At 35.1% G+C, this 27,779-nt stretch overlaps 1 protein-coding gene across 2 annotated transcripts in view, besides 1 other annotated feature; it reads left to right on the top strand.

The window, feature by feature from the left end:
- DHX36 (DEAH-box helicase 36) overlaps positions 1-22,309 on the top strand; it is a 51,942-nt gene extending 29,633 nt beyond the window's left edge. For both annotated transcript variants that reach the window (NM_001114397.2, NM_020865.3), the window contains exons 14-25: positions 1,043-1,107; positions 2,161-2,304; positions 5,029-5,146; positions 5,891-5,989; positions 9,868-10,041; positions 10,186-10,272; positions 11,584-11,667; positions 13,993-14,092; positions 14,186-14,276; positions 17,137-17,257; positions 17,956-18,108; positions 18,499-22,309. In NM_001114397.2, the coding sequence (NP_001107869.1) occupies positions 1,043-1,107; positions 2,161-2,304; positions 5,029-5,146; positions 5,891-5,989; positions 9,868-10,041; positions 10,186-10,272; positions 11,584-11,667; positions 13,993-14,092; positions 14,186-14,276; positions 17,137-17,257; positions 17,956-18,108; positions 18,499-18,684 (1,422 nt within the window). In that variant the 3' untranslated portion in view covers positions 18,685-22,309. The remainder of the gene's footprint in view (positions 1-1,042; positions 1,108-2,160; positions 2,305-5,028; positions 5,147-5,890; positions 5,990-9,867; positions 10,042-10,185; positions 10,273-11,583; positions 11,668-13,992; positions 14,093-14,185; positions 14,277-17,136; positions 17,258-17,955; positions 18,109-18,498) is intronic.
- Positions 9,308-9,508: a silencer, noted in NCBI's record as "peak4869 fragment used in MPRA reporter construct". NCBI's record gives its function as "represses an SCP1 promoter by STARR-seq MPRAs in K562 erythroleukemia cells {active_cell/tissue: K562}" and the evidence as "EXISTENCE:reporter gene assay evidence [ECO:0000049][PMID:32103011]".
- Positions 22,310-27,779: the final 5,470 nt, after the last annotated feature.

Genomic DNA, 27,779 nt, shown 5'->3' with positions numbered 1-27,779 from the left:
TATGAATGTTTGGCTCCATCAGATACAGGCGCTTTCCTAATTAGAGTGAACACTACATTCTCAGAGGCAGGATAATGTTATGATCTACAGTATTTGCAGGCTCTTGCAAAATGAAATTGATTAGAAAACCTGCTCCTCCCCCCATTTCTAGTTTATCCTTTTCTCTTTTTATAAGAAAATATCAAGATACTTTTCTTTGAGACCCTTTTAATATTTTTGTTGCTGGTACCTTAGTCATGAATTAGATACAGAGTACATACCTGAGAGAAGAGAGGGGGCAAGAAAGAAAACTCTTGATTCCAAAGACTGAAAGAGTATCCAGCATGGAAGTATTCATCTTCCACACCATAACCTAGTAAATTATGTATTCCTTTGCTGGAGAGTATGTGAATAGCCTGGGAAACATTTTCTGTATTGACTACCAGTTTTGTAAATGAAGGGATAAGTTTTTGCTTTTTGTTTGTTTGCATTATCGCCAGTGGTACTTGATTACCTATCTTCTTTCTACTTTAGTGACATTGTCGGGTTGTGGGGCAGTATTTGTAGAATTCTCCATTTAAAGAGGATTTTTTTTTTTCACTCCAATCTGATCTCAAGCTAGTAGACAGTGGTTGGTACAGCTGCACAGTTGACATTTGTTCTGCTGGGTTGGGCATCTGCCTGATTATTCAGTGTTCTTACCCATGGAGACTTGACTTCATTATTCTTGTCCTAACAGAAATATCCCTCCCTCTACTTTATAACCTCCAGCTTTTGTTAAAAAACTGCTGTAAATTTAAATAATGATACCTCATTGGAAATCTTGTTTGTGATAAGATTGTGACATCTGTGGGAGATTTAATGTGGTTTACCAAAAGATAATTTTGTAATATTGAAAATGATCTGTACTTCATAAATACATCGATAAATATTAGATGTATATGTCAGTGAATGAACATAGAATGCTAAAAATGAACAGTATCTGAGGTAATTCCTCTAATTACAAATATAATGTATTAGAAGTTAGTGTACTTTTGTGATTCTGATGTATTTATTTTTACAGGTGTTTAAAAGAACCCCTCCTGGTGTTCGGAAAATAGTAATTGCTACCAACATTGCGGAGACTAGGTAAAAATAGTTTTAAATATCAAATACTGATGATTACATAAGTTTTAAACACCATAACGTGTTTATATACCTTAATCTTTTTTCTCTACCATATACCTTGTAATTTATTAAAAATAAAACCTTTTTTATGGCAGTGAGCATAGTTTTATTTTTTGTGGGCTTTTTTGAGACAAGGTCTCATTCTGTCACCCATGCTGCAGTGCAGTGGCACGATCATGGCTCACTGCAGCCTTGATCTCCTCAGCTCAAGTGAGCCTTCCACCTCAGCCTCCCAAGTAGCTTGTACTACAGGCTTGTGCCACCACACCTGTCTGATTTTTTAAATTTCTTGTAGAGATGGAGTCTCACTATGTTGCCCAGGCTGATCTCTAACTCCTGGGCTCAAAATGATCCTATTACCTCAACCTCCCAAAGTGCTGGGATGACAGGCCTAAGCCACCATGCATGGCCAGTTTTGTGGGGGTTTTTTAACCTATAGTAATGCTTTAGCTCAGAAATAGCATTTTAGGTGTTGGTTTTTGTTTGTTTTGTTTTCCTAAAGAAGCATGGGAGCTGAGGTAAATTTTGTCCTTTCGCCTGTTTCTGGTTGGGGGTAGTATTTGGTAATTAGTTATATCCAGCCTTTAAATGTTCTTGTATTCTCTTGGAGGTACTAAGATGTAGTTTAGTCACTGAAACAGATTCTTTTCTGGAAGCTGATATTAAACCATGCTGTTGGGGCTCCCATAGTGCTAGGTATGAGGCAACCTGTGATATTTGACTGTAGGCAAGTAAGAATTTAGTATATGATCTGAAGAACTAATACTGTGCTGTCACTTACAGTGCCTGACACTGCCTACTGTTAGGTACTCGATCCCTATAATATTGGTAATGTGGGTGTGAAGAGTAGTGAAAATCCTGAATGGCTAAAATCATTTGATGTAATAAAAAAAAAATGCTCTGAAATACCTATTTATTGGTCTTTTATAGGTTAATAGTGCTTTCGATGTGTGTGTGTGTGTGTGTGTGTGTGTGTGTGTGTTTTAACATTTTATATATCTGTTTTCCAAACAGCATTACCATAGATGATGTCGTTTATGTGATAGATGGAGGAAAAATAAAAGAGACGCATTTTGATACTCAGAACAATATCAGTACAATGTCCGCTGAGTGGGTTAGTAAAGCTAATGCCAAACAGAGAAAAGGTCGAGCTGGAAGGTAAGGTGGGAACTCTGTCCAAAGCTTTTAGAACACACAAAAATTTTGTGTAACAAAATGTGATGTTGGCATTTAAAGATATTTATTAAAAGAGTTACCTTTCTTATTATTTTGAGCTTATTGCAAAACATTTTTAAATAGGAAAGTTGTTCTAATCGTAGTTTGTTTGGAAAAGTATCTGCCAAGTTTTCTATTTTATGAATCTTTTGCCTTCAATTTCTAAGTTTGATTAATAAGTTATGTTACTTATAATAGTTGGTTTTCATTTTTTTAAAGCATATATTGTGTGATAATAATAGCAACTAATACTTTTTGAGTGTCAGATCATCTCCTGAACACTTGATCCATATTAACTTTCTTAATCCTCACTACAGTACTATGAGGTAGGTTATTATATCCATTTTACAGATAAGGAAATTAAGGTACAAGGAAATTAAATGACTTGTCCAAAGTCCCATAGCTTTCTAAATTACAGAGCCAGGATTTGAATCCAGGCATTCTGACTACACAGGCTAGGCTCCTAATCACTGAATTTTATAGCAGTACTGATTTTTCACCAGTAGTTTTCAATGAAAGCACAAGGAAAGTACTTTTCCTCATAATGTCATAATAACTTAAGAAGTAAAACTATCTCTGTCTTAATGATAGGAAAAATGATCTGTCTTGAACTTCTACAAAGAATTGGACTTTAATGCATATTTCACAGTATTTCTGCACTTATTCATATGAGTGATAAGAGCCATATATGGATTTTCAGAAGAGGGTTTTTCTTTTGCCTCTTACAGATAGAATGAGAGATTTCCATTAATCTTTCGATACAGACTTAAGAAAAGGAGAGTTGAAAGAAAACTTTACAGGCCATTTATCAACCCCTCGTTTTAAGTTTGTACAATATCCATAAAGCTCTGACTGACTTGCTGTAATCTTTGCACATTATCCCAGTATAATTTGATTTCAAGACAGTTTATTAGATAGTTGATGCTATTGAACCAAAATCGTGGTTTAGTCAAAGAAGTATACCCTCCTAATAATCAGTTATCAGGGAATAACTTGATAAGGGACCCAGAAAGACTGAGGTTTTCCCATGTAGACCCATCACCTCTAAATATTGATTCAAAAAGTATTCACCATAGTGAACAGGTTTTGGCACACCTTTATATGTGAATAATAAACATACTAAGCCTTAGATTTGTTCCATGAAACAATAATAGAGCTAAATACTAATCCTTCGTCCTCACTCCTGTGCGGTAGGTTAACTGTGGAATTGCTGTTTTAATTTAAAAGGAAAACAGTCTTTTGTAGGCTCCATGGATAAAAATTCCTTCTGCAAACCTTATTATTTTGGAGATCAGAAAAAGCTATAGTATGTGGCTTTCAATGGAGGTACTCTTTTTTTTTTTTTTTTTTTTTTTTTTTGAGACGGAGTCTCGCTCTGTCGCCCAGGCTGGAGTGCAGTGGCGGGATCTCGGCTCACTGCAAGCTCCGCCTCCCGGGTTCACGCCATTCTCCTGCCTCAGCCTCCCAAGTAGCTGGGACTACAGGCGCCCGCCACTACGCCCGGCTAATTTTTTTGTATTTTTAGTAGAGACGGGGTTTCACCGTTTTAGCCGGGATGGTCTCGATCTCCTGACCTCGTGATCCGCCCGCCTCGGCCTCCCAAAGTGCTGGGATTACAGGCGTGAGCCACCGCGCCCGGCCTCAATGGAGGTACTCTTATTTTAGTTTCTACTGGAGAGATATTGAGGTATATTATATAATAGACAGTGGGTCTATGTAGACTCATGGAAAAAATAACTAAGATTTTTAGAATTCATTTTTGTTCCTATAGCAGCAAGAGCCTAAAGAAATATCTCTTCTACTTGAGAATACATGAATATGGTCACCTCTTCACATCTAGTTTTTTTTTTTTTTTTTTTTGAGATGAAGTCTCGCTGTGTCACCAGACTGGAGTACATGGCACGATCTTGGCTCACTGCAACCTCTGCCTCCTGGGTTCAAGTGATCCTCCTGCCTCAGCCTCCCACTGGGACTACAGGAGCACACCACCACACCCAGCTAATTTTTTGTATTATTTTTTAGTACAGATGGGGTTTCACCATGTTGGCCAGGCTGGTCTCAAACTCCTGACTTTAGGTGATACACCCACCTCGGCGTCCCAGAGTGCTGGGATTACTGGTGTGAGCCATCGCGCCCGGCCTACATCTAGTCTTATCATTGTTCAAAAAATGATATCATTCATGGCTCTAGTTACATACATAAAACAGAAACTTTTAATATCCCTCTGAAAACTCACTAAATATATAGTACTTAAAATGTTTTTCAGTAATATAGACAGGTTAGCATAATGCCAGGATTCATTACATAATAAGATTGATCACAAGGCATACTTGACGTTACTATTCTTAACCTTAACCTAGGTAGACTGCTGTTACTGAGCACAGTAATTTGGAATCTGTCAGAAATAGGGAAGCAAATTATTGGCATGGGGAGGAATTACTGTGTATCTTTCTTAAAACTGTGATGAGGGTAGAGGGTATAACGTTTTTCTAAACAGAAGAAATACATGATTCATAAAAAGGAAAAAATAATTACGTACATTAGCTATTATGTGGCATGTAAGAAATTGATATTGGCTACTTCCCTGCCTAGTATTTTCTCTGCAGTTCTAAAAAGTCATTGATGACTGTCCCTCTTTGTTTCATTTTGTTTTGTTTTTTTTTTAAGAGTTCAACCTGGTCATTGCTATCATCTGTATAATGGTCTTAGAGCAAGTCTTCTAGATGACTATCAACTGCCAGAAATTTTGAGAACTCCTTTGGAAGAACTTTGTTTACAAATAAAGGTAAATTAGGTGGGAGAATGAAGAAACTAAATGGAAGTGATCTCATTTTCAACATCTTTTGTAGAACAAAGTACTGTATTAATCTCCAAGAAACAATTATTAACTCACAATTTATTTCATGTGTGCATTAGTAAATTGTGTGTTTAAACTTCCTTCAAATGTATATTCAACACTTTTAAATTATATACTGCTCTAGAGGAGGCAGGCTGCCTGTGTTTGAATCCTGCTTCTACCCCGGAAAAGCTAGTTCTGTTATATTGGGCAGGTTGTTTAAATTAACCTCCTAAAATCCTTAGAACAGTGCCTGGCACGTGGTAAGTGTTTAGTAAACAGTAGCTACTGTTATTACATGTTAACATGTTATCCTTCATTATAAACTACTTATTTCAGTATCTTGTGTCTTTTGATATAGTTAGACTTGTTTTGAAGATAGTGAGTAATCAGCTTGTTCACTGAGATTTTAGCCAGCTACTTTTGAAGATAGTGGGTAATCAACTTGTTCATTGAGATTTTAGCCAGCTACTTTTCCTATTAATAGAGTTGATGGTAGAAAGTAGTAATATATATAGGACTTTAAACATGTTTTTATAGAAATACAAATATAATTTTAATTCATTTTGGTAAAATAACTTGAAAGTCATGTATAAATTTGATGCTTTGAGTCATCAGCCCAGGTAGGACTAAGTTGTAATGCTAATATATTAATATTATATGTATTTAATAATATTTGTCTCCCCCACTTAGATTTTAAGGCTAGGTGGAATTGCTTATTTTCTGAGTAGATTAATGGACCCACCATCAAATGAGGCAGTGTTACTCTCCATAAGACACCTGATGGAGCTGGTAAATTTGTTTTCTTGTTTTTTTAATTCTAACTTAGAATACTACAGCATGTAAACCAGTTAATTATAATGTTTACTCTCATTACTGCAAAGTAGACCAATAATGTCCAATGCCAAATTTGATTGGCTATTTGACTATCAATTTAGAACTATCAGGTTATGAGATAGGCATTAGAAAGTTATAAAGTGATATCTTCGTAATAATTCTTAAAAGACTAGGATCTTTTTGCACATTTTTTTTTATTGTAGGCTTGATTTAAGATTACATAAAATTTGAAATTTTTAAGTTACTGGTCTTTAATTACTGGCGAGTAAAACAAATATGCAGCTAAATGATTTATCACAAAGGAAGGACTATGTAGTAATTACTTACATCAAGAAGAACATTCCCAGTATGCTAAAAGCCCCCTTCCTACCCTCTCATAATCACTCCACTGTCCCTTAATCCCAATCATGATAGATAACCTCTATCATGACTTTAACTATAATGGCTTGATTTTTTTTTTTGATGGTTTTTACAAGTATGCATCTTCATAAAGAGTTCAGTTTTGCCTATTTTGTGAACTTTACATGAACCCATACAGAATGTGTGTGGTTTTTTTGTTCTTTGAGGGAGCAGAGCTCTGGATTATTTCACTTAATATTATGAGATTCAAATGTATTGTTGCTTTAGCTATGGTTTTTTTTCTTTTTCCTCTTTTTTTTTTTTTTTTTTTTTTGAGACAGAGTCTCACTTTGTCACCCAGGCTGGAGTATACTGGCATGATCTCAGATCACTGCAACCTCCACGTCCTGGGTTATAAGGTACATGTATGATCAAGTTGGGTAGATAACGCCCAACAGTTTTCCATGGTTGCAAACCACTTAAACTCCTACCAGTGGTGGATGAGAGTTCCCATTGCTTTGTAGCTTCACCAACCTTTCTTATTAATTGGCCTTTTATTCTAACCATGCTGGTAGGTATGTAGTGGTTTTAATTTGCATTTCTATGACTGTCATTGAAGTTTTCAGCAGCTTTTATGTTTATTATCCATTTGTGTAGTCTCTCATAAATTGCTAGTGTCTTCTGTTAGGTTGCAGATCATACAGTCCTTTTGTACTCTTGATCTGCGCTTTTTATTGGTTGTATATTGCATATCTGTTTTCAACTTTCCTTTTTTTAATACCTTGATAAATTCCTTATTTTATTTTATTTTATTTTATTTTTGGAGAGAGTCTCACTCTGTCACGCAGGTTGGATGGAGTGCAGTGGCATGATCTCGGCTCACTGCAGCCTGCAACCTCCACCTCCCAGATTCAAGCGATTCTCCTGCCTCAGCCTCCTGCTGGGATTACAGGCACCTGCCACCATGTCTGGCTAATTTTTGTATTTTTCGTAGAGATGGGGTTTCACCATGTTGACCAGGCTGGTCTGGAACTCCTGACCTCAAGTGATCCGCACACCTCAGCCTCCCAAAGTGCTGGGATCATAGGCATGAGCCACCACTCCCAGTCTAAATTCCTAATTTTAATGCAGTAAGATGTATCATTCTCAAAGGTTATTGCTTTTTACACTTTAATAAGTCTTTTCCTGAGGTCATAAAGATACATTTAAAAAAAATTTACTGTTTTGTTTATAATGCATCTGCAGTTGATGTGTGTTGGGGTTGAGGTAGAAATAAAAGTTTTTATAAATAAATGTAGAGCATTGACTGAGCACCATTTATAGAAAAGTTCATCTCTTTTTGTCCTTGTTCTGCAGTCTTTGATAGGTCAATGTCTGTGGATTTGTGTGTCTGTTTCTAGGCTTATTTCTCATCTGTTGGCCTGTATTTCTCTCCTGAGCTGGTATCACATTGCCTTAATTACTCTAGCTTTATGATAAATCTTGTTTTCTAGTGGAACAAATCACTCCCTTTCATTCTTCTTCAAAAACGTCTTGACTCTAGAGACTGAGGTGGGAGGACTGCTTGAGCCCAGGAGTTTGAGGGACACAGTGAGCTGTGCTTGCACCACTGCACTCCAACCCAGATGACAGAACAAGACCCTATCTCTTAAAAAAAAAATAATAATAGTAAATTTTTTTAAAACAGAGTGTCTTGGTCCTTCTTGGTGATTTGTTTTTCCAAATACATTTGAGAATCTTTGGAGTTTGATTTTGATTGAATTCCATCTATAAATCAGTTTGGGGAGAACTGACATCTTTACAGTATTGAGTCTTAGCAAAAAGATCATCATCTATTCCTCTGTTTATTTGGGTATTCAGTCTCAGTATTTTAGAGTTTTCTTTGGGGTTTTATATGTCTTTATTTAGATTTTTTAAAATTTAGATTTCAAATATTTAAAAGCAGAATCCAAAAATACCACTAATCTTCTAGGTTAGTGGTATTTTTGGATTCTGCTTTTAAATATTTCATCATCTTTCGAGTCTGATAATACAGAAATAAAGTTGCTTTTTGAATGATTGTATTCATTAATGCTGTAAAGTCCCCTTATTCAAATAACTTCATGTAGATTTTTTTCTGCATATATTATCACATCTTTAAATAATTAGAGTTTTATTTATTCTTTTTTAAGTTTCTGGGACCCTTAATACAATGTTGAGCAGAAGTGATATGATAGTGTGCCTTCTTGTCTTATTCTTCTTAAAGGAGAAGCTATCAGCAAATCATTGAGAGTAAAGTGTTTGTTGGTGTTTTTTTTTTTTTTTTTTTTTTTTTTGGTGTGTGGAAGCTCTTATTACGTTAAGTTTACTAAGACATTTTTATCTTGTATGGATAATCAGTTTTATCAAATATCTTCTGCTTCTGATGAGATTATGGTATGACTATTTTAGTTGGTTCATGTATTCAGTTAAACTGATGTTTCAAATATTAAACAAATTTTTCTTTTTAGAGTAAACCTAACTTGCCAGCATTCAATTTGCCATTATTTTGTTTTGTGATTTTCATATGTAAGTTTATTTAGTTTTCTTCAGATGTCCTTGTAAGATTTAGATATCAAGCTATTCTAGGTTCAGAAAACAAGTTGAGGGTTTTACATTTCTTTTATTTGAAAGAGGTCTTTTAAAAAAAAAAAAATTAAGTGTATTTTCTCCAAAACTGTTTAGTAAAAATCTGTGTCTGATGGGATGCTTATGGGTTCTTTTATTATTATTTCTTGTTTGCATCTATATGCCTAGTTATTTTAATTGTGCACTGGAAATTCTGTTTACAAAATTCTTTATAGATAAAAATTTGAAGCTTGGGATGAGGGTAGCTTTTTTTCAGCAAGGTTTTATGTTCCTTTCTGCCAGGAAAAGAGGCCCCAACCTCTGCACTCACCTCCCCTAGATGTCTCTCATTCCCTAACCTCTTGATTTACAATTCTTTGTTAACTCCTTGTATCTTCAGGCTACTTTTCTAGCTGTCCACAGTGGGGTGGTTGGACCAGATGACCTAGGGAATCAGAGCAGAAGTCACTCCCATTTTCTGTGGTTTTAGATAGTTCCTTTTTCTTTTGCTTTTCTGTCTCGCGTCACCTAAACTACTAGAATCTAGAGAGTGTGCATTATGTATTCCAGATGTATAATAGTGTATCTTTTGTTTTTGTTGTTTGTTTCTACAACTTTTATACTTTATTAGGTGACTTTATTTAACAGAAAGTTTGTCATTTCTGGTATTTCTCTCAACACAGAAAAGCCAAGTTGTGTGTTAATTTTGGTTATGTTTAAATAAGTTTGTAACCTTTGCTGACCTCACAACTTATGTTTTGGTAGGGAAAACTAAAGCTGAACAATATTTGGGCATTTGGACTTAGAAGAGAGAGTAGTGGCTTGTTACTCTTTTTAAAGCAAGCTAAAATCGTTTTAAATGTAATGCTTTACAGGATCTATTTTAAACACACACTCTTCCTTTACAGAACGCTTTGGATAAACAAGAAGAATTGACACCTCTTGGAGTCCACTTGGCACGATTACCCGTTGAGCCACATATTGGAAAAATGATTCTTTTTGGAGCACTGTTCTGCTGCTTAGACCCAGTACTCACTATTGCTGCTAGTCTCAGTTTCAAAGATCCATTTGTCATTCCACTGGTAAGAAAAATGGAAATAAAACCGAGTTATTTTAGATGTGAACAGGAGTTGCTTAGATATATTTTTCATTAGCGTTTTATTAGAATGTCATTCTCCATTATAGCATCAGAGCAATTTAAATTGGCTATGTCTGCTATTTTTAAGGGAAAAGAAAAGATTGCAGATGCAAGAAGAAAGGAATTGGCAAAGGATACTAGAAGTGATCACTTAACAGTTGTGAATGCGTTTGAGGTAAAAAAAAAAAATTTTGTCCTGGATTATGATAGTTTATTCAAATGAAATGCTAATAATAGAATAAGGATCATATTTAACCTTTTGAAATCTCTGTTATAAGGCCGGGCGCGGTGGCTCATGCCTGTAATCATAGCACTTTGGGAGGCTGAGGCAGGTGTATCACCTGAAGTCAGGAGTTTGAGACCAGGCTGGCCAACATGGCGAAACCCTGTCTCTACTACAAATACAAAAATTAGCTGTGTGTGGTGGTGGGCATTTGTAATCCCAGCTACTCAGGAGGCTGAGGCAGGAGAATTGCTTGAACTCCGGGGCGCGGTGGTTGCAGTGAGCTGAAATCATGCCACTGCACTTCAGCCTGGGCGATGGAGTGAGACTCAATCTCAAAAAAACCAAAAAACCAAAATCTATATTATCATAGGTATCAGGAGTAAATTACTGAGAATGTTGAAATTTAGCTGAACATTTGAAAAAAGTTATAATTCATTTTTAATTTTGTAATAGTTCATTACATTTACCGTTTTGGGGAAATAATAGTTTTTGGTAAGAATGAACAAGTGAATAGTTTATTTTAAAATTTTGTATTTAATAATTTCTTTGTATCTTTGGCTTATTAACGCTAATGACAGTCTCTTTCTATTCATTAATAAACTACCCTGTATTCAGATTTAACATGTAATAGAGGATCATAATCATGTACATAATTCAGATTAAAGAGACATTTTCTGCTCCCAAAAGCCACGTGTATCTGAGGGTAAACATTTATCACCTATCTTGGTAAAATTTAAATGTAATTTGGTTTTTAGAGGCAGTATCTTTTTTCTGTGGCTCTACATTCTGTTTCATGTGACATATTATGGGAAAGTTCATGTTTTTTTGTCTTTGAGCTTATTCAGCTTGTCTTTCCTTTTTCCCCATTTCCCTCCTCTTAAAAAAAAAAGCAAACTATAAAGAAAATCTGTGAATTTGAAAATATATAATAGCATTTAAGTCAGTTTAATAGTGTGTTCTTTTTGATTAGTGTATTATGTACAGTTTGGATGCCATTTTGTGTAAAATACATAATTAATATATTACTATATACTTAATTGTATAAAGGTCTGGAACTTCAGTGGTGGTTGTCTCTTAAGGACTAGGATCATGGGGAGTGTATGTGTTTTTAGTTTTATCAGTTATAAAATTCTTTGAATTTTTTACAAAGAAAATTAAATATTAGTAGAATATTAAGCTTTTACTAAAGTAAAGAGGGAAACCAGTAGTAATCTTTGTTTGCGGGAGAAATATAGATTTCTTCATTTCTTTGCCCCATAGGGCTGGGAAGAGGCTAGGCGACGTGGTTTCAGATACGAAAAGGACTATTGCTGGGAATATTTTCTGTCTTCAAACACACTGCAGGTAATGGTGAATGTTTTGCAGTAATTATCATATATGCTAGATTAGAGAATATATACATCCATTTTGTACAATTAGATCTATAGCAAAAAAGTCAAATATATGGAAATTGAGTATATTTGTATATATACACAAAGTAATGGGGGATCTTTCTGAAATCAACTGCAACAAAACAAGGAAAAGAAACATGGTTCCAGAGGATAAGAGCAAGGCACAGTAGGGTTCGATTTCTGTTCCTGTCCCCACATTCTAGTTGCTATTTTGATGATTCAAACTGAGAATTTTTGCTAACACTACTAAAATCTGTTGAAAAGTATCAAATAGGATAGATATCTGTAAGTTTTCTGGTTTAGTATAGTGAAACACCACAGGCAAGCATTTGTAAAACAGAAGAAAACAGTAAAGAGGGCATATGCCATCACATTTCAGACTACACTGAACTGGGTATTCGAAGCCAGTGAGAATAGAAATATCCTCATCTTCTCCCAGTACACATACACTCCAGCTATGTGACATGAGGCCTGATACTGGACATTTAACAGATCTACAAATTAGTAAACAAAAAAATCTAACATACCAAATCAGAAGTGCCCAGTCATTAGCAAAATGGAAAAAAAGGATCACCACAATTCGGAAGGAAAGGAAAAGAAAAAAAAAAGAGTGGAATGCCATGTTTCAGTAGAAAACACCTTTAAACTGTTTCATAATATGGAATAGCTAATAAGAATATGAATTCAGCAAAACATAGGTTAGAAAATAAACAGTAGAGTGAATGAAAAGACACCTGAGCTAAGAAAACAAATTGAAGATCAAAAGAAATCACAAGGAACAGAATGGACACCCCTTAAAAACAAGTTATTGCCATAGGAAAAAAGCTTGAAGTAATCACAGTTTATGGAGGTACCTGAAAAAGACAAAAATTAAAGCAATAAGTAAAATCTTAAAGACAGGAAGACAGGACTCATCCATTATGAGAACAGTAGACATTAGTGTCTGCATACAAATCCTGTGTAATTGAACGTTTATTTTGAGATGTATGTAAGAACACGTTTTGAAATGGAAATAATGAAATGAACAGAGAAGTGAACAGAAGCATGAAAACATAACTGAATCCAAGTGTTTGAGAATGTCATGTCCAGTCAGGATATGAATTCAGGTGTAAAGAAAAACAACAGGCATTCAAGAAATACTGTACCCCTGAGCTCTTCTTGAAAAGCCCATTGACGGTGAAATGCTGTTAGTTAAAAGGGGAATCACAGTGGAGATTTCAGGAATGGAGAGTGCATGCTTAATCAGCTGGTGTATATACATTAGAAGTATTTAAATATAGAGCTAATAACAAAATGGTGTTAGGAATTACACATGCAAAATAGAATGTAAAGATTATTATCCTGAACAGTATAAAATAATGGCAGTAAAAACCAGGAGGTGTCTAAGAAAGTCAGGTGTCAGAAAAATTAGGTGGGGAAAGTCACACCTTTCATAAAAGGGATATATACTTAAATATAACCAACTTTATGTTTCATAATCTCTAAAAGGAATTCCTTAGGAAATATTTCTGTTATGAAAATACAAGATTCATCTGGTCATTCACTTTCCTTTCTATTTAACTTTTCTTTAAATTGTACTAAAGTTAATTGTTTTATAAAGAATTTCTATACTATGATTCTGTTATTAGGATGCATTTCTTCTATCAGTATATATACTTAATGGGTGTCTGCAATCTTATTTATTTAGAAGACTGAGTATTGAGGCAAGGGAAGTACTTTTCTATGTTACTTGAATGCTTTGTAATAAGCCATGTATCATTATTTAAAAAAAAAACAAAACCTTAAGCTTACCTGCCATTTTTAACCATATTTAATTCTCAGTAATAGAAATATGGATGTGGATTATTTTCTTTATGCTTTTCTATATTTTTTAAAAAATGGGGGTGGAAAGTAATTTTAAAAATTCTATTAGTCTTTCACAAAATAGAGTAATCCTTAAACATCAGTGGCTATTCCTTACAACATGCAAACTTTTTCTGTGAAAAGTCGGGTAATATTTTAGGCTTACAGGCCATAAGATCTCAGTTACAAGCATTGACCTCTGCCATTGTAGTGCAAAAACAACCAAATGTAGATGAATGGGTGTGGCTGTGTTCCAATAAAATGTTATTGACAAAAACAGCTTTTGTAGTTTGCCAACCCTTGCTTTAAAACATGTTTGCTAAAGTGTTTTCATAAAGCAGGGATAGCTTACAACTCAATTTATCTATTAGTGTATGGTTTATAGCCTCAATGTGTGAAAGGTATTCTAGTTCTATTTGTTACCATTGCTCCCTAGATGCTGCATAACATGAAAGGACAGTTTGCTGAGCATCTTCTTGGAGCTGGATTTGTAAGCAGTAGAAATCCTAAAGATCCAGAATCTAATATAAATTCAGGTACAGCAGGAAACACAGTGTAAATAAGTATCTTTTGTCTATTGTATCAGTATTTTACTTTTCTTTTCCCCTCTACCTTCTCACCCCCCATAGATAATGAGAAGATAATTAAAGCTGTCATCTGTGCTGGTTTATATCCCAAAGTTGCTAAAATTCGACTAAATTTGGGTAAAAAAAGAAAAATGTAAGCATTGAAGATTATTATTAATTACTCGTAATTCTCTTCTTAAACTTTTGAAATCTGCTCATGTAACAAGGCTTATATTATAAATTTGTTCTTATTCATATGTGGGTTATATTCTTGTTCTTTTAATCATTTCAGAGAAGGTGAACTGTTTAGCCATTGGTATCACTTTCCCTCACAACACATCCTGGAATCACCTCTTTGATAACCCATTATTCACAAAGAATGCTACCACATGATACCAGTGTAAATATTAGAAGAGCCAGCCTGCTAGTAAATACCAGTGGCTGGATAAAAATTGCTTAGAGTAGATTTTATTTCAGAAACTTTTTTCCTCTTGCCTTATAAATGGATAACTTAGCTCTTTGAATAACATTGTGATTTCACTATTTTGAGAAATAAAGTGTAATAATATATTTACAGGTAGCCTCAGTAGTAATTGGAGACAACAGTGAAGCATGAGCTAGAATGAGCTCATTCTAGCTAAAGGATACAGAGAAACTAAGAGTCACAAATGGCCAGTAGTGTGGTTGCTGCTATTTTGGAAGACACTCTGTATTAGAATTATGATTGAATCATTAAAATAGTCAGTGACCCAGTGCATGAGTTTTTAATTTGATAGATGTGTCTTAAGGAAGTAATTTCAAATGTTTTCTAACAGCTATATTGTAAATAATATAGATTTCTAGTAGCCATGGGAAAATTGTGGTTTTATAATACTGTAATGCATCTCCATAGGTGGGCATTAAAACAGTCATTGTGTAGTAACATGTAAAGTATTTAAACTGATGTTAAATGAAAGTTGGATATTCTAGAATTATAAACATGAAAAAATAAAGACTTTAAAGATAGGCCAAAGTGCAGACATTGTTCTTGGGCAGTGGTTCTCAACTGGCATGATTTTGCCCCCAAAGGGGACATTGGAAAGTGTCTGGAGATACTTGTGGTTGTCATAACAGTGTGTCAGTAGTACTAAAGTCAAGAAACCCTATTCCAAGGTATAAAGTAATGGGTAGCTGATGAATTTTAATCATTGTGGTTGGATTATTCACATTTTAAGTGACCTAAGTACTTTTTCAAAATAATACTTGGCCAGAAATTTTTTTGTATGTGTGTACCTAACTTTACAGGTAGCTTAACAGTGAGTCACTTTGAAATTCATTTTATTTTCCTCTCTGCCATCCTGGGAGGGCTTTCTGAAAAAATGTAGTTTTCTTTGGACTGGTGCATTGTTTTGGTCCAGACTAGGGGTCAGCAAATTTTGACCTATAGGCCAAAAACTTGTTTTTGTCCTTTTTTTGTTGGAACACAAACATGTTGTTTTCATGTTGTCTATTCTGCTTTCCTTCTACACTAGCAGAGTTGGACAGAAATTATAGAGCCCCAAATATAGACCCTAAAATATTTACTCTCTGGTCCTGTATAGAAATTTGCTGGGCCAGGCACAGTGGCTCACACCTGTAATCCTAGCACTTTGGTTGGCTGAGGCTGTTAGATTACTTGAGCCCAGGAGGTGGAGGTTGCAGTGAGTCAAGATCACACCACTGCACGTTGAGAGATCATGCTACTGCAGTCCAGCCTGGGTGACAGAACGAGACCCTGTCTCAAAAAAAAGAAAAAAGAAATTTGTGAAGTTCTACTGCTCTAGTTATGCAGGGTGGCAGGATGGCATTGGTAAATTGACTTGAAGTGAGAAAAAATAATTTCTGGTTTTATTCTAAGTATTTAAAACTGTAAATTCATAACCATGATTCATGATTTTGATTACAAGTCTTATGAATTCTTAGAACTTCAGAAGTGGCCGGGTGTGGTGGCTCACACCTGTAATCCTGGCACTTTGGGAGGCCAAGGTAGGCGGACCACCTGAGGTCAGAAGTTTGAGACCAGCCTGGCCATCGTGGTGAAACCCCATCTCTACTAAGAATACAAAAACTAATTGGGTATGGTGGTGGCACATGCCTGTAATCCCAGCTACCCAGGAGGCTGAGGCAGGAGAATCGCCGGAACCCGGGAGGCGGAGGCTGCAGTGAGCTGAGATTGGGCCACTGCACTCCAGTCTGGGTGACAGAGCAAGACTCCGTCTCAAAAAAAAAAAAAAAAACTTCGAAAGAGACACTCGTAAAAACAAATAGGAAAGATTAGTGGATTATTAGCTTTTATGCTGTTAGTTAATACAGGTAATTAACATTAACTATTTAAAAATAAATTATTAAACATCTCCCTGTTGAATAATACTAAAGACTTTTACAAATTGAGATAAAATGTGTATGACTATCAAAAAAAAAATGACCTAGGAATTGAGAGATTGAATTAGAACTGTCAACATGAATTTAAACAGAATTCTTAACTTTTCATTTTTTATTCATCTGGGTCATACTCTGTAAAATTTTTAAGTTGATAATTTTACAGTTATTTTGTAAATCAAGGGCTGTTTATCAGTATTATGATTGTCATAGTAAAATGTATAAACTCTTGGTATGAATCACTTAATTATTTTAGGTACTTTTTTGTTATTTATTCTTCAGTGGTATAGTGTGCATTAACATTAAGGAAAAGAATATTCTGCCATTTTTCTAAAATGTTGAGTAATTATACCTGCAAGAAGAAGATTAGTTACATGATTTAAATTATTCATACTGATAGCATTTTTTCATATATTTTTAAGGAAATTATGCTCTGTCCTCAAATATAAATATATTTTTTTGCAAAAATAAACTGAATTATTCTCTGGAATTTTTTTAGATTCCGGGATTTGTTTGGTTTTTACCAAGCTCTTCTATCAGTTTTTCAAGTAGTGTAAAAAAAGAAAATCCTCTAGAAGACTTCTTTTTAACAAACTGCATTTTAACTTTTTTTAAAGGGTAAAAGTTTACACAAAAACCGATGGCCTGGTTGCTGTTCATCCTAAATCTGTTAATGTGGAGCAAACAGACTTTCACTACAACTGGCTTATCTATCACCTAAAGATGAGAACAAGCAGTGTAAGTGAACATTTAAAATAATTAAGGATCTGATTATCAGTCTCATTGTATTTTTATGATTGTGTAGTTTTAACAATTATATACAAAATTTTTTTTTTGTTGTGTCTTATTCCTGTGACGTGAGTAACTTTTTCCCTCTAACAAATAACCTATTCTTTTAATTTTCAGGTCTGTAATGATGGATCTTTGTATTTTAATTAGTTAGGACAGTTATTTGATTGCATAATTTTCTTTCAGAACTTGCTTTCAAGAAATATTGGCATATTTTATGGTGTACAGGAGTTTACATTGTATAGAAAGTTTTGTTAGCATGTCAGTATACCTTATAAGTATTGTTCAGCATGTTGAGATTCTGTTTATTTATATTTTTCTCTTTAGAACAGTAATTTGAGATGATTTATAAAAAACTGGATAAAAATAACTTCGGCAACATTAGTGTTTTGCTTTTGTCACTCAGAAAATATTTTGTTCAGAGTAGTGCTTAGTTTAAACTAAAAAATATTAAAATACCTATGTTCTCTGAATAATGAAGATGGCTCATTTAAAATGGTATTTCTTACAAATCTCTGTAATTACAATAGAAGGTTAATATTTTAGAAGGAAGATACTCATTAATTAATACTGGTAATATTGTTGAATTTATATAGTAATCTTTTCAGACTCCTGAATGTATTAATTCACTTTAATTTTCATTACAGATATACTTGTATGACTGCACAGAGGTTTCCCCATACTGTCTCTTGTTTTTTGGAGGTGACATTTCCATCCAGAAGGATAACGATCAGGAAACTATTGCTGTAGATGAGTGGATTGTATTTCAGTCTCCAGCAAGAATTGCCCATCTTGTTAAGGTGACTGACTTTATGTGATTATCTTAAATCTACATGTAAGTCAGCATGTGGTCATGTGGTTTTGTTCTAACTGTTAAATAGATTAACATTTCTTGCTCTATTTCAGCAGAGCAAATAATTTTGAAAAAATGATTCCTGGTTTTTCTGAATTGTGTTTTGAGGTGGTAACAGACCAGCCATTCTAAATGGCTCAGTGTGATTGCAGTGTGAATTTTAACTGCACTTTAGTTATTCACTCATAACCACACTTTAGTTGATTGCTCACTAAATGTTTTAGCTTTTGAGCCATCGCTTGTGAAACTCCTTGTATCAGGTAAATTAGTTTCATTTATTATGTTATTTGGTAATATATCTGCCTTTGTTGAACATGTATAATTTTTCCAACCTTAGGAATTAAGAAAGGAACTAGATATTCTTCTGCAAGAGAAGATTGAAAGTCCTCATCCTGTAGACTGGAATGACACTAAATCCAGAGACTGTGCAGTACTGTCAGCTATTATAGACTTGATCAAAACACAGGAAAAGGCAACTCCCAGGAACTTTCCGCCACGATTCCAGGATGGATATTACAGCTGACAGCTTTTCAGGGGTGGTCTGAAAAGCCAGTTTGACAGCCATTCTTCATCATTGTTTAAATTTTGGCTGGATGCCAAACCCTGGGACATGAACAATTTTCATGTGTAAGGTAGAAGCCTTCAGTAGGTAGTAAAGACTTAATGTGCATGACTTGATGTTATATGTAGAGATATATATATATATATATATATACCATAAAAGCAATATGTTCTCTGATCATATACTCTGCTGTGGTCATGCCCACTCTTTGGGAGTATATTCCCTTTATATATATTGAGTATTGTACCACTTGAGAAATTCCTTTGTTCTGTTATACAAAATTAATCTTTCTGCTCATAATGATTGATGATACCACCAGTAAAAATAGGATGTTTACCCCAAAACAAGTGTCAATTAAGAATTTGAACACAACCACATTTTTTAAAATGAAACTTCTATCGGAAGTAAATTAATTTGTTGTAATAAAGTCCAGTATTTAATAAAATGTACAATGTTAAATCTCAGCCAACCTCTTGGATTGGTTTCTACATTTTCACCTATGGCTTGGTTCATTTGATATTTTTACTATTTTTAAAACACGTGCCCTTTTTATATCACCCTGTGCCTCATAATACAGCAATTGAGAGCACGGTCTGGAGCCTGATTACCTCAGTTCCAGTCTCAGCTCTGTCAGTTAGTCAGTGTCTTGGCTTCTCTCCTTTTTCCTTATCTTGTAAGATACAGTTGGCCCTTCATATCCATGCATTCCACATCTGTGGATTCAAACAACTGTGGATAGAAGATATTTGGGGAAAAAAAGGATGGTTGTGTCTATACTGAACATGTGCAGACTTTTTTCCTTGTCATTCCCTAAACAATACAGTTTAACAGCTATTTATATAGTATTTACATTGTATTAGGTATTATAAATAATCTAGAGATGACTTAAAGAATATGGGAGGTTGTGCCTAGGTAACATGCAAATACTACGCCATTTTATTATAAAAGACTTGAGCATCCATGGATTTAGGTATTTGAGGGGTTGGGGTTGGAAACCAGTCCCCCACAGATACTGAGGGACAACTGTACATGTAACAGTTGTGAGGATGAAGTACATTAATACATGTAAAGCACATAGGCTAGTGCCTGTACTCTCTGAATCTTAGTTGTTATTTGTCCCTGAAATATTTTCGTAAATGTCTAACAATCTATTATATTACACTTTTTATTTTATTGCTACTTATCTTCTTCGCCAAGGAATAGTGTAACAACACATGCTGTACATTTTCAGCCCTATCAGATTGTGATAAATACTGTTGGTTGCCGGCCAGCAACTATTTTGTCCCTCCCTTCTTGCTTGCTTATTCTGGTGTTCCCTTCTGTGCAGCTCTGTGTCCAGGTATGTTGGACCCTTTCCCTAAGGGTGAATCCTGCTGTTCTAAATGAATCACATGTGGTCTTATCCCCCTTATAAGTAATTGATAAGGCATGAGTACATAAACATGTCCTAGTGAATGGCAGCTGAGAAGTGATCTTCAAGGGGGTGTCTGAAAAATGTTTTACTCACTAATAGGCTTAGAGGAGGAAATCCTGCTCTCTCTGGACATTGTCTTTTCTGACTCTGATAGTTGGAACTGCTGCAGCCAACTAATGATCACAAGGAGACACGGACTCAGACTGAGGTTAGCTCAGTGGAAAGATAGAACTCACCAGAGCCTTTGATAATGCCGGTAAGCTTCAGAATTAACCCATTCTAGAGCTGCTTTACATGTGGACTTATGTTGATATAATAAAAACCCTTCAATTGTTTAAGCCACTTTTAATAGGATATTGTTAGTTTTTTGTTGGTTTTTTGTTTTGTTTTGTTTTGTTTTTTGTTTTTTGGAGACAGTGTCTTGCCCTGTCACCCAGGCTGGAGTGCAGTGGTGTGATCTTGGTTCACTGCAGCCTCGACTTCCTGGGTTCAAGTGATCCTTCTGCCTCAGCCTCCCAAATAGCTGGGACTATAGGCATGCATCACCACACCCAGCTAATTTCTGTATTTTTTGTAGAGACACCGTTTCACCATGTTGCCCAGGCTGGTCTCAAAACTCCTGTGCTCAAGCAGTCTGCCCGCCTTGGCTTCCCAAAGTGCTGACATTACAGGTATGAGCCACTGCACCCGGTCCCTAGTAGGGTATTTTTAACTTGGCAAAAAGGGTATTAATCAGAAACATACACTATCCATCACTGAGTATTATACTCTTGATTTTGCAATGTAAGAGTTTTAACCTATTTGTCTGACAGAAGGTGTAAAAGTGCTGGACATGCTGCAGAAAGAAACAGGAAAAGCATCTTGCTGCACTCCAAAGAATGCAAATTTTAATGTGCCTTCCAATAAATGCAAGGAAACCGAAAGAGTTAATAGTATCATACAATGACTGGGATGTATTGATAATGCTACAGTGATCCATTAACAGCACTTGTTCAGGTACTGCTCCCAATCCTGGGAATGTGTGTTACCTGTTATGTCTCAAATCCTTTATCTTGGCTGTTCTTCTAAAAGTGATCTGTCTGTCATTGAATGCTGGCATTAGAGTCATGTCACAATATTAGAGCATACTGGTTTTGCCTCTAACGTCGAGGTGACCATCTGGTCTTTCTTGCTCTGTAAGAGTTTCTGTTTGTGCTTTTTTTTCCCTTACTTTTATTATCCAGTTTAAATCCAGTCAGTTGGCCAAAATGGTCTTGGAAGAAAGGATTTAGAGATTCTGTAAAAAAGATTATTAGTTGGTTCTGTGTTTGCAAACCAGTATGTAATTCCCATATGAATGGGGAAAATGTTCCTGAGGAATTATTTAATTGATGAGGCATTCACAGAGATTAAAGCAGTTATTGTTACCTCCAATTTATGTCTTCTGCACAGCTGATTAGGTTGGACATTTTAATCCAAGGTGCTACTTACATTCTGTTTCTTTTGTTTACAAAATAGGGCATTACTGAGTAGAAAATACATTCCAGGTCTAAGAACTGTTTGTTCTTTAGTGGATTTTAAAGAATAAGACATTAAATTAAGAAGGAAAATCTGTTTGATTCATCATTTTGAGTAATGCAGAGAATAACTCTTAAAAAAAAAACCTGAAACAGAAACTTTCAGGAAAAAAACAAAAGAAATTAAACTACTGAATAATCTTTCAAAAGCATCGTTGAACAGTGAGCACATGTGATGCCTTCCCAATTAATTAATTTGGGCAAAAGCTCTAGATAAACTTACACCAATTGTTGCAAGGCATTCTCTATTACTGCATTTTTAAAACAAAGTCCTCCCCTAAAAGTTATGAATTATACAAAAGCTTTAGGAGGAATTTTAGTACTCCTTTACCCAAAATAAATAGTGGTAAATTTCCTTCTGTTCTTAGCTCTGAGTTTGTATTTATTTATAAGTCATTGTGATCATGTATACTTATATATTTTTAATATGCTAATTGCTTTTAAATGGGATTTTTGTTCTGATTTTAAAATAATACATCCTCCCTGGACAATATTTGGAAATGTAGCAAAGTAAATCATGTTACCATTGTTCCATTTTGATATATATAAACTTTAGGTATTATTTTATATATAATAAATTTTAAGATATTATATACAATAAAATTAACCAATTTAAGTATATGATTCAGTGAATTTTGTCAAACATATAGTAGTGTAATTACCACCACCACAATCTTGATACAGAACTTTTTTTTCCCCAGAGATGGAGTTTCGCACTGTCACCCAGGCTGGAATGCAATGGCGCAATCTCGGCTCACTGCAACCTTCGTCTGCCCGGGTTCAAGCAATTCTCTGGCCTCAGCCTCCTGAGTAGCTGGGATTACAGGCACGCGCCGCCATGCCCGGCTAACTTTTGTATTTTTAGTAGAGATGGGGTTTCACCATGTTGGCCAGGCTGGTCTCGAACTCCTGACCTCATGATCCACCTGCCTCGGCCTCCCAAAGTGCTGGGATTACAGGCGTGAACCACCACACCCAGCTGATATAGAACATTTGTATCACCTAAAAATTTCCCTTTTACCCCTTTGTAGTCAATCCCTCACCCCCACTTCTATCCCCTCGAAACCCATTGATCTGCGTTTTGTCACTTTTCGTTTTGCCTTTTCTAGAATTTCAAATAACCAGTCTTTTGTGTCCAGCTTCTTTCACTTAATGTAATACTTTTGAGATACTGATATTGTTACATGTATTAGTAGGTAGTTCCTGTTTTATCTTCTATTCAGTAGTATTTGCATTGTATAGTTATACCACAGTTTGTTAATTCATTTACCAGTTGATGGACATTTGAGTTGTTTTCAGTTTTTTTGCTGTTATGAATAAAGCTGCTATGAACATATGTATATAAGTCTTTGTGTGGTTATATGTTTTCATTTGTCTTGGGTAAATACCTAAGATTAAGGTTGTTGTATTATAGTAAGTGTGTTTGTATAAGAAACTGCTAAACTGTTTTCAGAATTTGCTGAAATTTTACATTCCCAACAGCAATGTGTGTTGGGGGGGTCAGAGTATTCCACATCCTTGCCAGTACTTGGTATTTTTAGCTGTCGTTTTAATTTTAGCCTTTAGTGGATGAGGAGTCCTGTCCCATTATGGTTTAATTTTTGTTTCTAAAATGATTAATGATGAGCATCTTTTCATGTTGTTTGCTTTTTCCTTAGTTATCTTATGTATTTCTGTTTGGGTTTTGATTTTTCATCTCATGTCAAATGATTGGAGTTTTAAGGATATATCTGACTACGGAGAAGGAAGATTACTAATTAATTTTAGAGATACAAAAAGTTGTTATTTACATTCCTTGAGATTTATAATGGCCAGATGTGTTACTCTTGACTTGGTTGGTAAAGTGTAAAGAGTTAAGCCAGTGTTATTAAGTGCCAGGAGAGACTAGCACCAGTTTTATATAGTTATGAAGGCAAGAGGTGTATTCATCATGAGGTGAAGAATGGGACATAAGAAAAAATATTTATTAGTATTGGGAAAGTCATTGGAGATAAGGAAAACAGCTGATATGGAAGCACTGTAGAGGCGATCTACTGTGGATGATAGAGAACTTTTAAATTGTGACTACCTTTTTTTTTCTGGTTCTTAAATTTGATTCATATCTTAATGGTCTGGTATAAATTTTTGAGTTGTATTTTTCTATTTCTGAGTCCTTATGTAGTATATTATGTTACCTTTACACAGTGAACATCATGGTTGGGAATAAAATTAACTTTAGCAAAGCTTTAATTTAATGAAAAAGTGATTCCTTGGTGACTTTTATCTTTTAGGCCCTTTTAAATATTTCAATACTTAATCTTTCCCATAGCTTCCATTCACCTCACTTTTCTCTTAATGGCTGTTTCTCCTGTTAAATGAGAGAGTTTGATTATTTTTACTTGTTCTGGAAGCCAATTTTTTTCTTGTTTATTCAAGCAAAGGCAAAACAGACCTATCTCTAACGTTTTTGTGGTGTCTGAAGTAAGAATATAAATGGAAGCCAACATACTAGATCTCTAAATATTTTAAAATTTTAAATTAGTTTAACAAACTTAAATAAAACGTCCTTTTAGCCAGGTGTGGTGGCTCATTCCTGTAATCCCAGCCGTTTGGAAGGCCAAGGTGGGTGGATCATTTGAGCCCATGAATTCAAGACCAGCCTGGGCAACATGGTGAAACCCTGTCTTTACAAAAATTACAAAAATGAGCCAGGCATGGTGGCATGTGCCTGTAGTCTCAGCTACTCAGGAGGCTGAGATGGAAGGATTGCTTAAGCCTGGGAGGTCAGGGCTGCAGTGAGCCACTGCACTCCAGTCTGGGCAGCAGAGCAAGACCCTGTCTCAAAAAACTCCTTTTGACAGATACACATTAATAATGACAAAATAAAAAATGGCATAAAACAATATTGAAGATGACTTTTAGCCATAGTTTCTTATTTTTTCGAAATATTCTTTTTTGCATCAATTGGCACAGTAACCATATGTTTTTTTCTTTAGCTTGTTAATATTGTAGATTGCTGTCTTAGTCATTTTCTGTTGCTGTAACAGAATATCAAAGACTGGGTAATTTATAAAGAAAACACATTTTTTTCTTACAGTTCTTAAGTCCAAGACCAAGGTATCAGCATCTGGTGAAGGCCTTCTTGCTGTGTCACAAATGGGGACATCACATGGCTAGAGGGCAAGAGTGTGTGTCATCTCAAGTCTCTTATAAAGCCACCAGTCCCATCATGGAGGCTTCACCCTGATTAACTTAGCTAAGCTTAAAATTACCTCACAGAGGGCCCACCTCCAATCAACATATGAATTTGGGGATTAAGTTTCCAATGCATGAAATTTATGGGACACATTCAAACCATAGCAGTCACATCAATTGATTTTTAAATATTGAGTAATCCTTGCATTTCTTTAATAAACCCCGCTTGGTCTCAGTGTGTAATTTTTTAAATATATTGCTGGATAGGATTCGGCAGTGTCTTGCTGAAGATTTTTGTCTCTCTATTCAGGAAAGATACAAATCTATAGTAGCTTTTGTTTTAATAATGTAATGCTGGCCTCATAAAATATGTTGGAAGCTGTTGTCTTCCTCTTACGTTTTCTGGAAGACATTATGCATAATTGCCATTAATTCTTTAAATGGTTGTAGAATTTTCCAACGAAACCATTTGCACTTGGAGATTTTTTTTCAGAAATTATTTTAAATTGTGAGTTTATTTAGTAATTATGAGATTACTCAATGTCTTGGTAGTTTGTGGTTTTTATTGGTTCATTTTCTCTAAGTTGTTGAATTTATGTATGTAAAGATTTTTTGTATTGATCAGAAGCCTGGGAAGCAGTAAAAAATTTTTGAGTTTTTTGTAACGCCCCTTTATTATTTTTTTAATGTCTGTAATGTGGGATCTTTAATGATATATTCATTTTTCATTGATTTTTCTCACGTATTCTGTTTTCAATTTTATTGATTTCTACACTTAACCTTATTTAGTTCTTACTGCTCTTTTGAGTTTATTTTGTCTCATTTCTTGAGGTGAAAGATTAGATTTCTTTTCTAATACAAGTTTTTTGTGCTATAAATTCTCTAAGCAGTGCTTTAGCTGCATCCTATGTATGTTGATATTTTGTATTTTCATGTCATTTAGCCAATGTATTTTTTATTTCCCTCTTTATATATTTTTCTCTTTAATAAATAGATTAGTTGTGAGTGTGCTGTTATAAGTTCCTAGTGTTTGGAGATTTTCTTGTCCATTATTAATTTTTAGCTTGATTCCATTATGGTCAGAGAAAATACTTTGTATGATTTCAGTCCTTGTAAATTGGTCAGTTTGTTGTATGACTCAGAATATGGTTATCTTGGTGAATATCCCTTAGCTATATTTAAAAAATGGATAATCTTATGTTATTGGATAGTACACTGTAAATGTCAATTATATCCCATGTGTTGGTGTTCTGTTCTATACTCTTTTTTTCTTTTTTTTTAAGTTCTAGGATACATGTGCACAACGTACAGGTTTGTTTCGTATGTATACATGTGCCATGTTGGTGTGCTGCATCCATTAACTCATCATTTACATTAGGTATTTCTTCTAATGCTATCCCTCCTCTCTTCCCCCACCCTGCGACAGGCCACCGTGTGTGATGTTCCCCACCCTGTGTCCAGGTGTTCTTATTGTTCAATTCCCACTTATGAGTGAGAACATGCGGTGTTTGGTTTTCTGTCCTTGAGATAGTTTGCTCAGAATGATGCTTTCTGGCTTCATCCATGTCCCTACAAAGGACAGGAACTCATCCTTTTTTATGGCTGCATAGTATTCCATGGTGTATATGTGCCACATTGTCTTAATCCAGTCTATCATTGATGGACATTTGGGTTGGTTCCAAGTCTTTGGTATTGTGAATAGTGCCACAATAAACATACATGTGCATGTGTCTTTATAGCAACATGATTTATAATCCTTTGGGTATATACCCAGTAATGGGATGGCTGGGTCAAATGGTATTTCTAGTTCTAGATCCTTGAGGAATCGCCACACTGTCTTCCACAATGGTTGAACTAGTTTACAGTCCCACCAACAGTGTAAAAGTGTTCCTATTTGTCTACATCCTCTCCAGCACCTGTTGTTTCCTGACTTTTTAATGATCGCCATTCTAACTGGTGTGAGATGGTATCTCATTGTGGTTTTGATTTGCATTTCTCAGATGGCCAGTGATGATGAGCCTTTTTTTCATGTGTCTGTTGGTTACATAAATGTCTTCTTTTGAGAAGTGTTTGTTCATATCCTTCGCCCACTTTTTGATGGGGTTGTTTGATTTTTTCTTGTAAATTTCTTTAAGTTCTTTGTACATTCTGGATATTAGCCCTTTGTCACATGGGTAGATTGCAAAAATTTTCTCCCATTCTTTAGGTTGCCTGTTCACTCTGATGGTAGTTTCTTTTGCTGTGCAGAAGCTCTTTAGTTTAATTAGATCCCATTTGTCAATTTTGGCTTTTGTTGCCATTTGGTTTGGTGTTTTAGTCATGAAGTCCTTGCCCATGCCTATGTCCTGAATGGTATTGCCTAGGTTTTCTTCTAGGGTTTTTATGGTTTTAGGTCTAACATTTAAGTCTTTAATCCATCTTGGATTAATTTTTGTATAAGGCATAAGGAAGGAATCCAGTTTCAGCTTTCTTCATATGGCTAGCTAGTTTTCCCAGCACCATTTATTAAATGGGGAATCCTTTCCCCATTTCTTGTTTTTGTCAGGTTTGTCAAAAATCAGATGGTTGTAGGATGTAGTATTATTTCTGAGGGCTCTGTTCTGTTACACTGGTCTGTATCTCTGTTTTGGTACCAGTACCATGCTGTTTTGGTTACTGTAGCCTTGTAGTATAGTTTGAAGTCAGGTAGCATGATGCCTCGAGCTTTGTTCTTTTTGCTTAGGATTGTCTTGGCAATGCAGGCTCTTTTTTGGTTCCATATGAACTTTAAAGTAGTTTTTTTCCAATTCTGTGAAGAAAGTCTTTGGTAGCTTGATGGGGTTGGCATTGAATCTATAAATTACCTTGGACAGTATGGCCATTTTCACCATATTGATTCTTCCTACCCGTGAGCATGGAATGTTCTTTCATTC

Source organism: Homo sapiens, chromosome 3 (assembly GCF_000001405.40).
Source record: "Homo sapiens chromosome 3, GRCh38.p14 Primary Assembly".
Lineage (NCBI taxonomy): Eukaryota > Metazoa > Chordata > Mammalia > Primates > Hominidae > Homo > Homo sapiens.
Note: the sequence above shows the minus strand (reverse complement) of the source record. Positions and strands in the feature narration are given on the sequence as shown.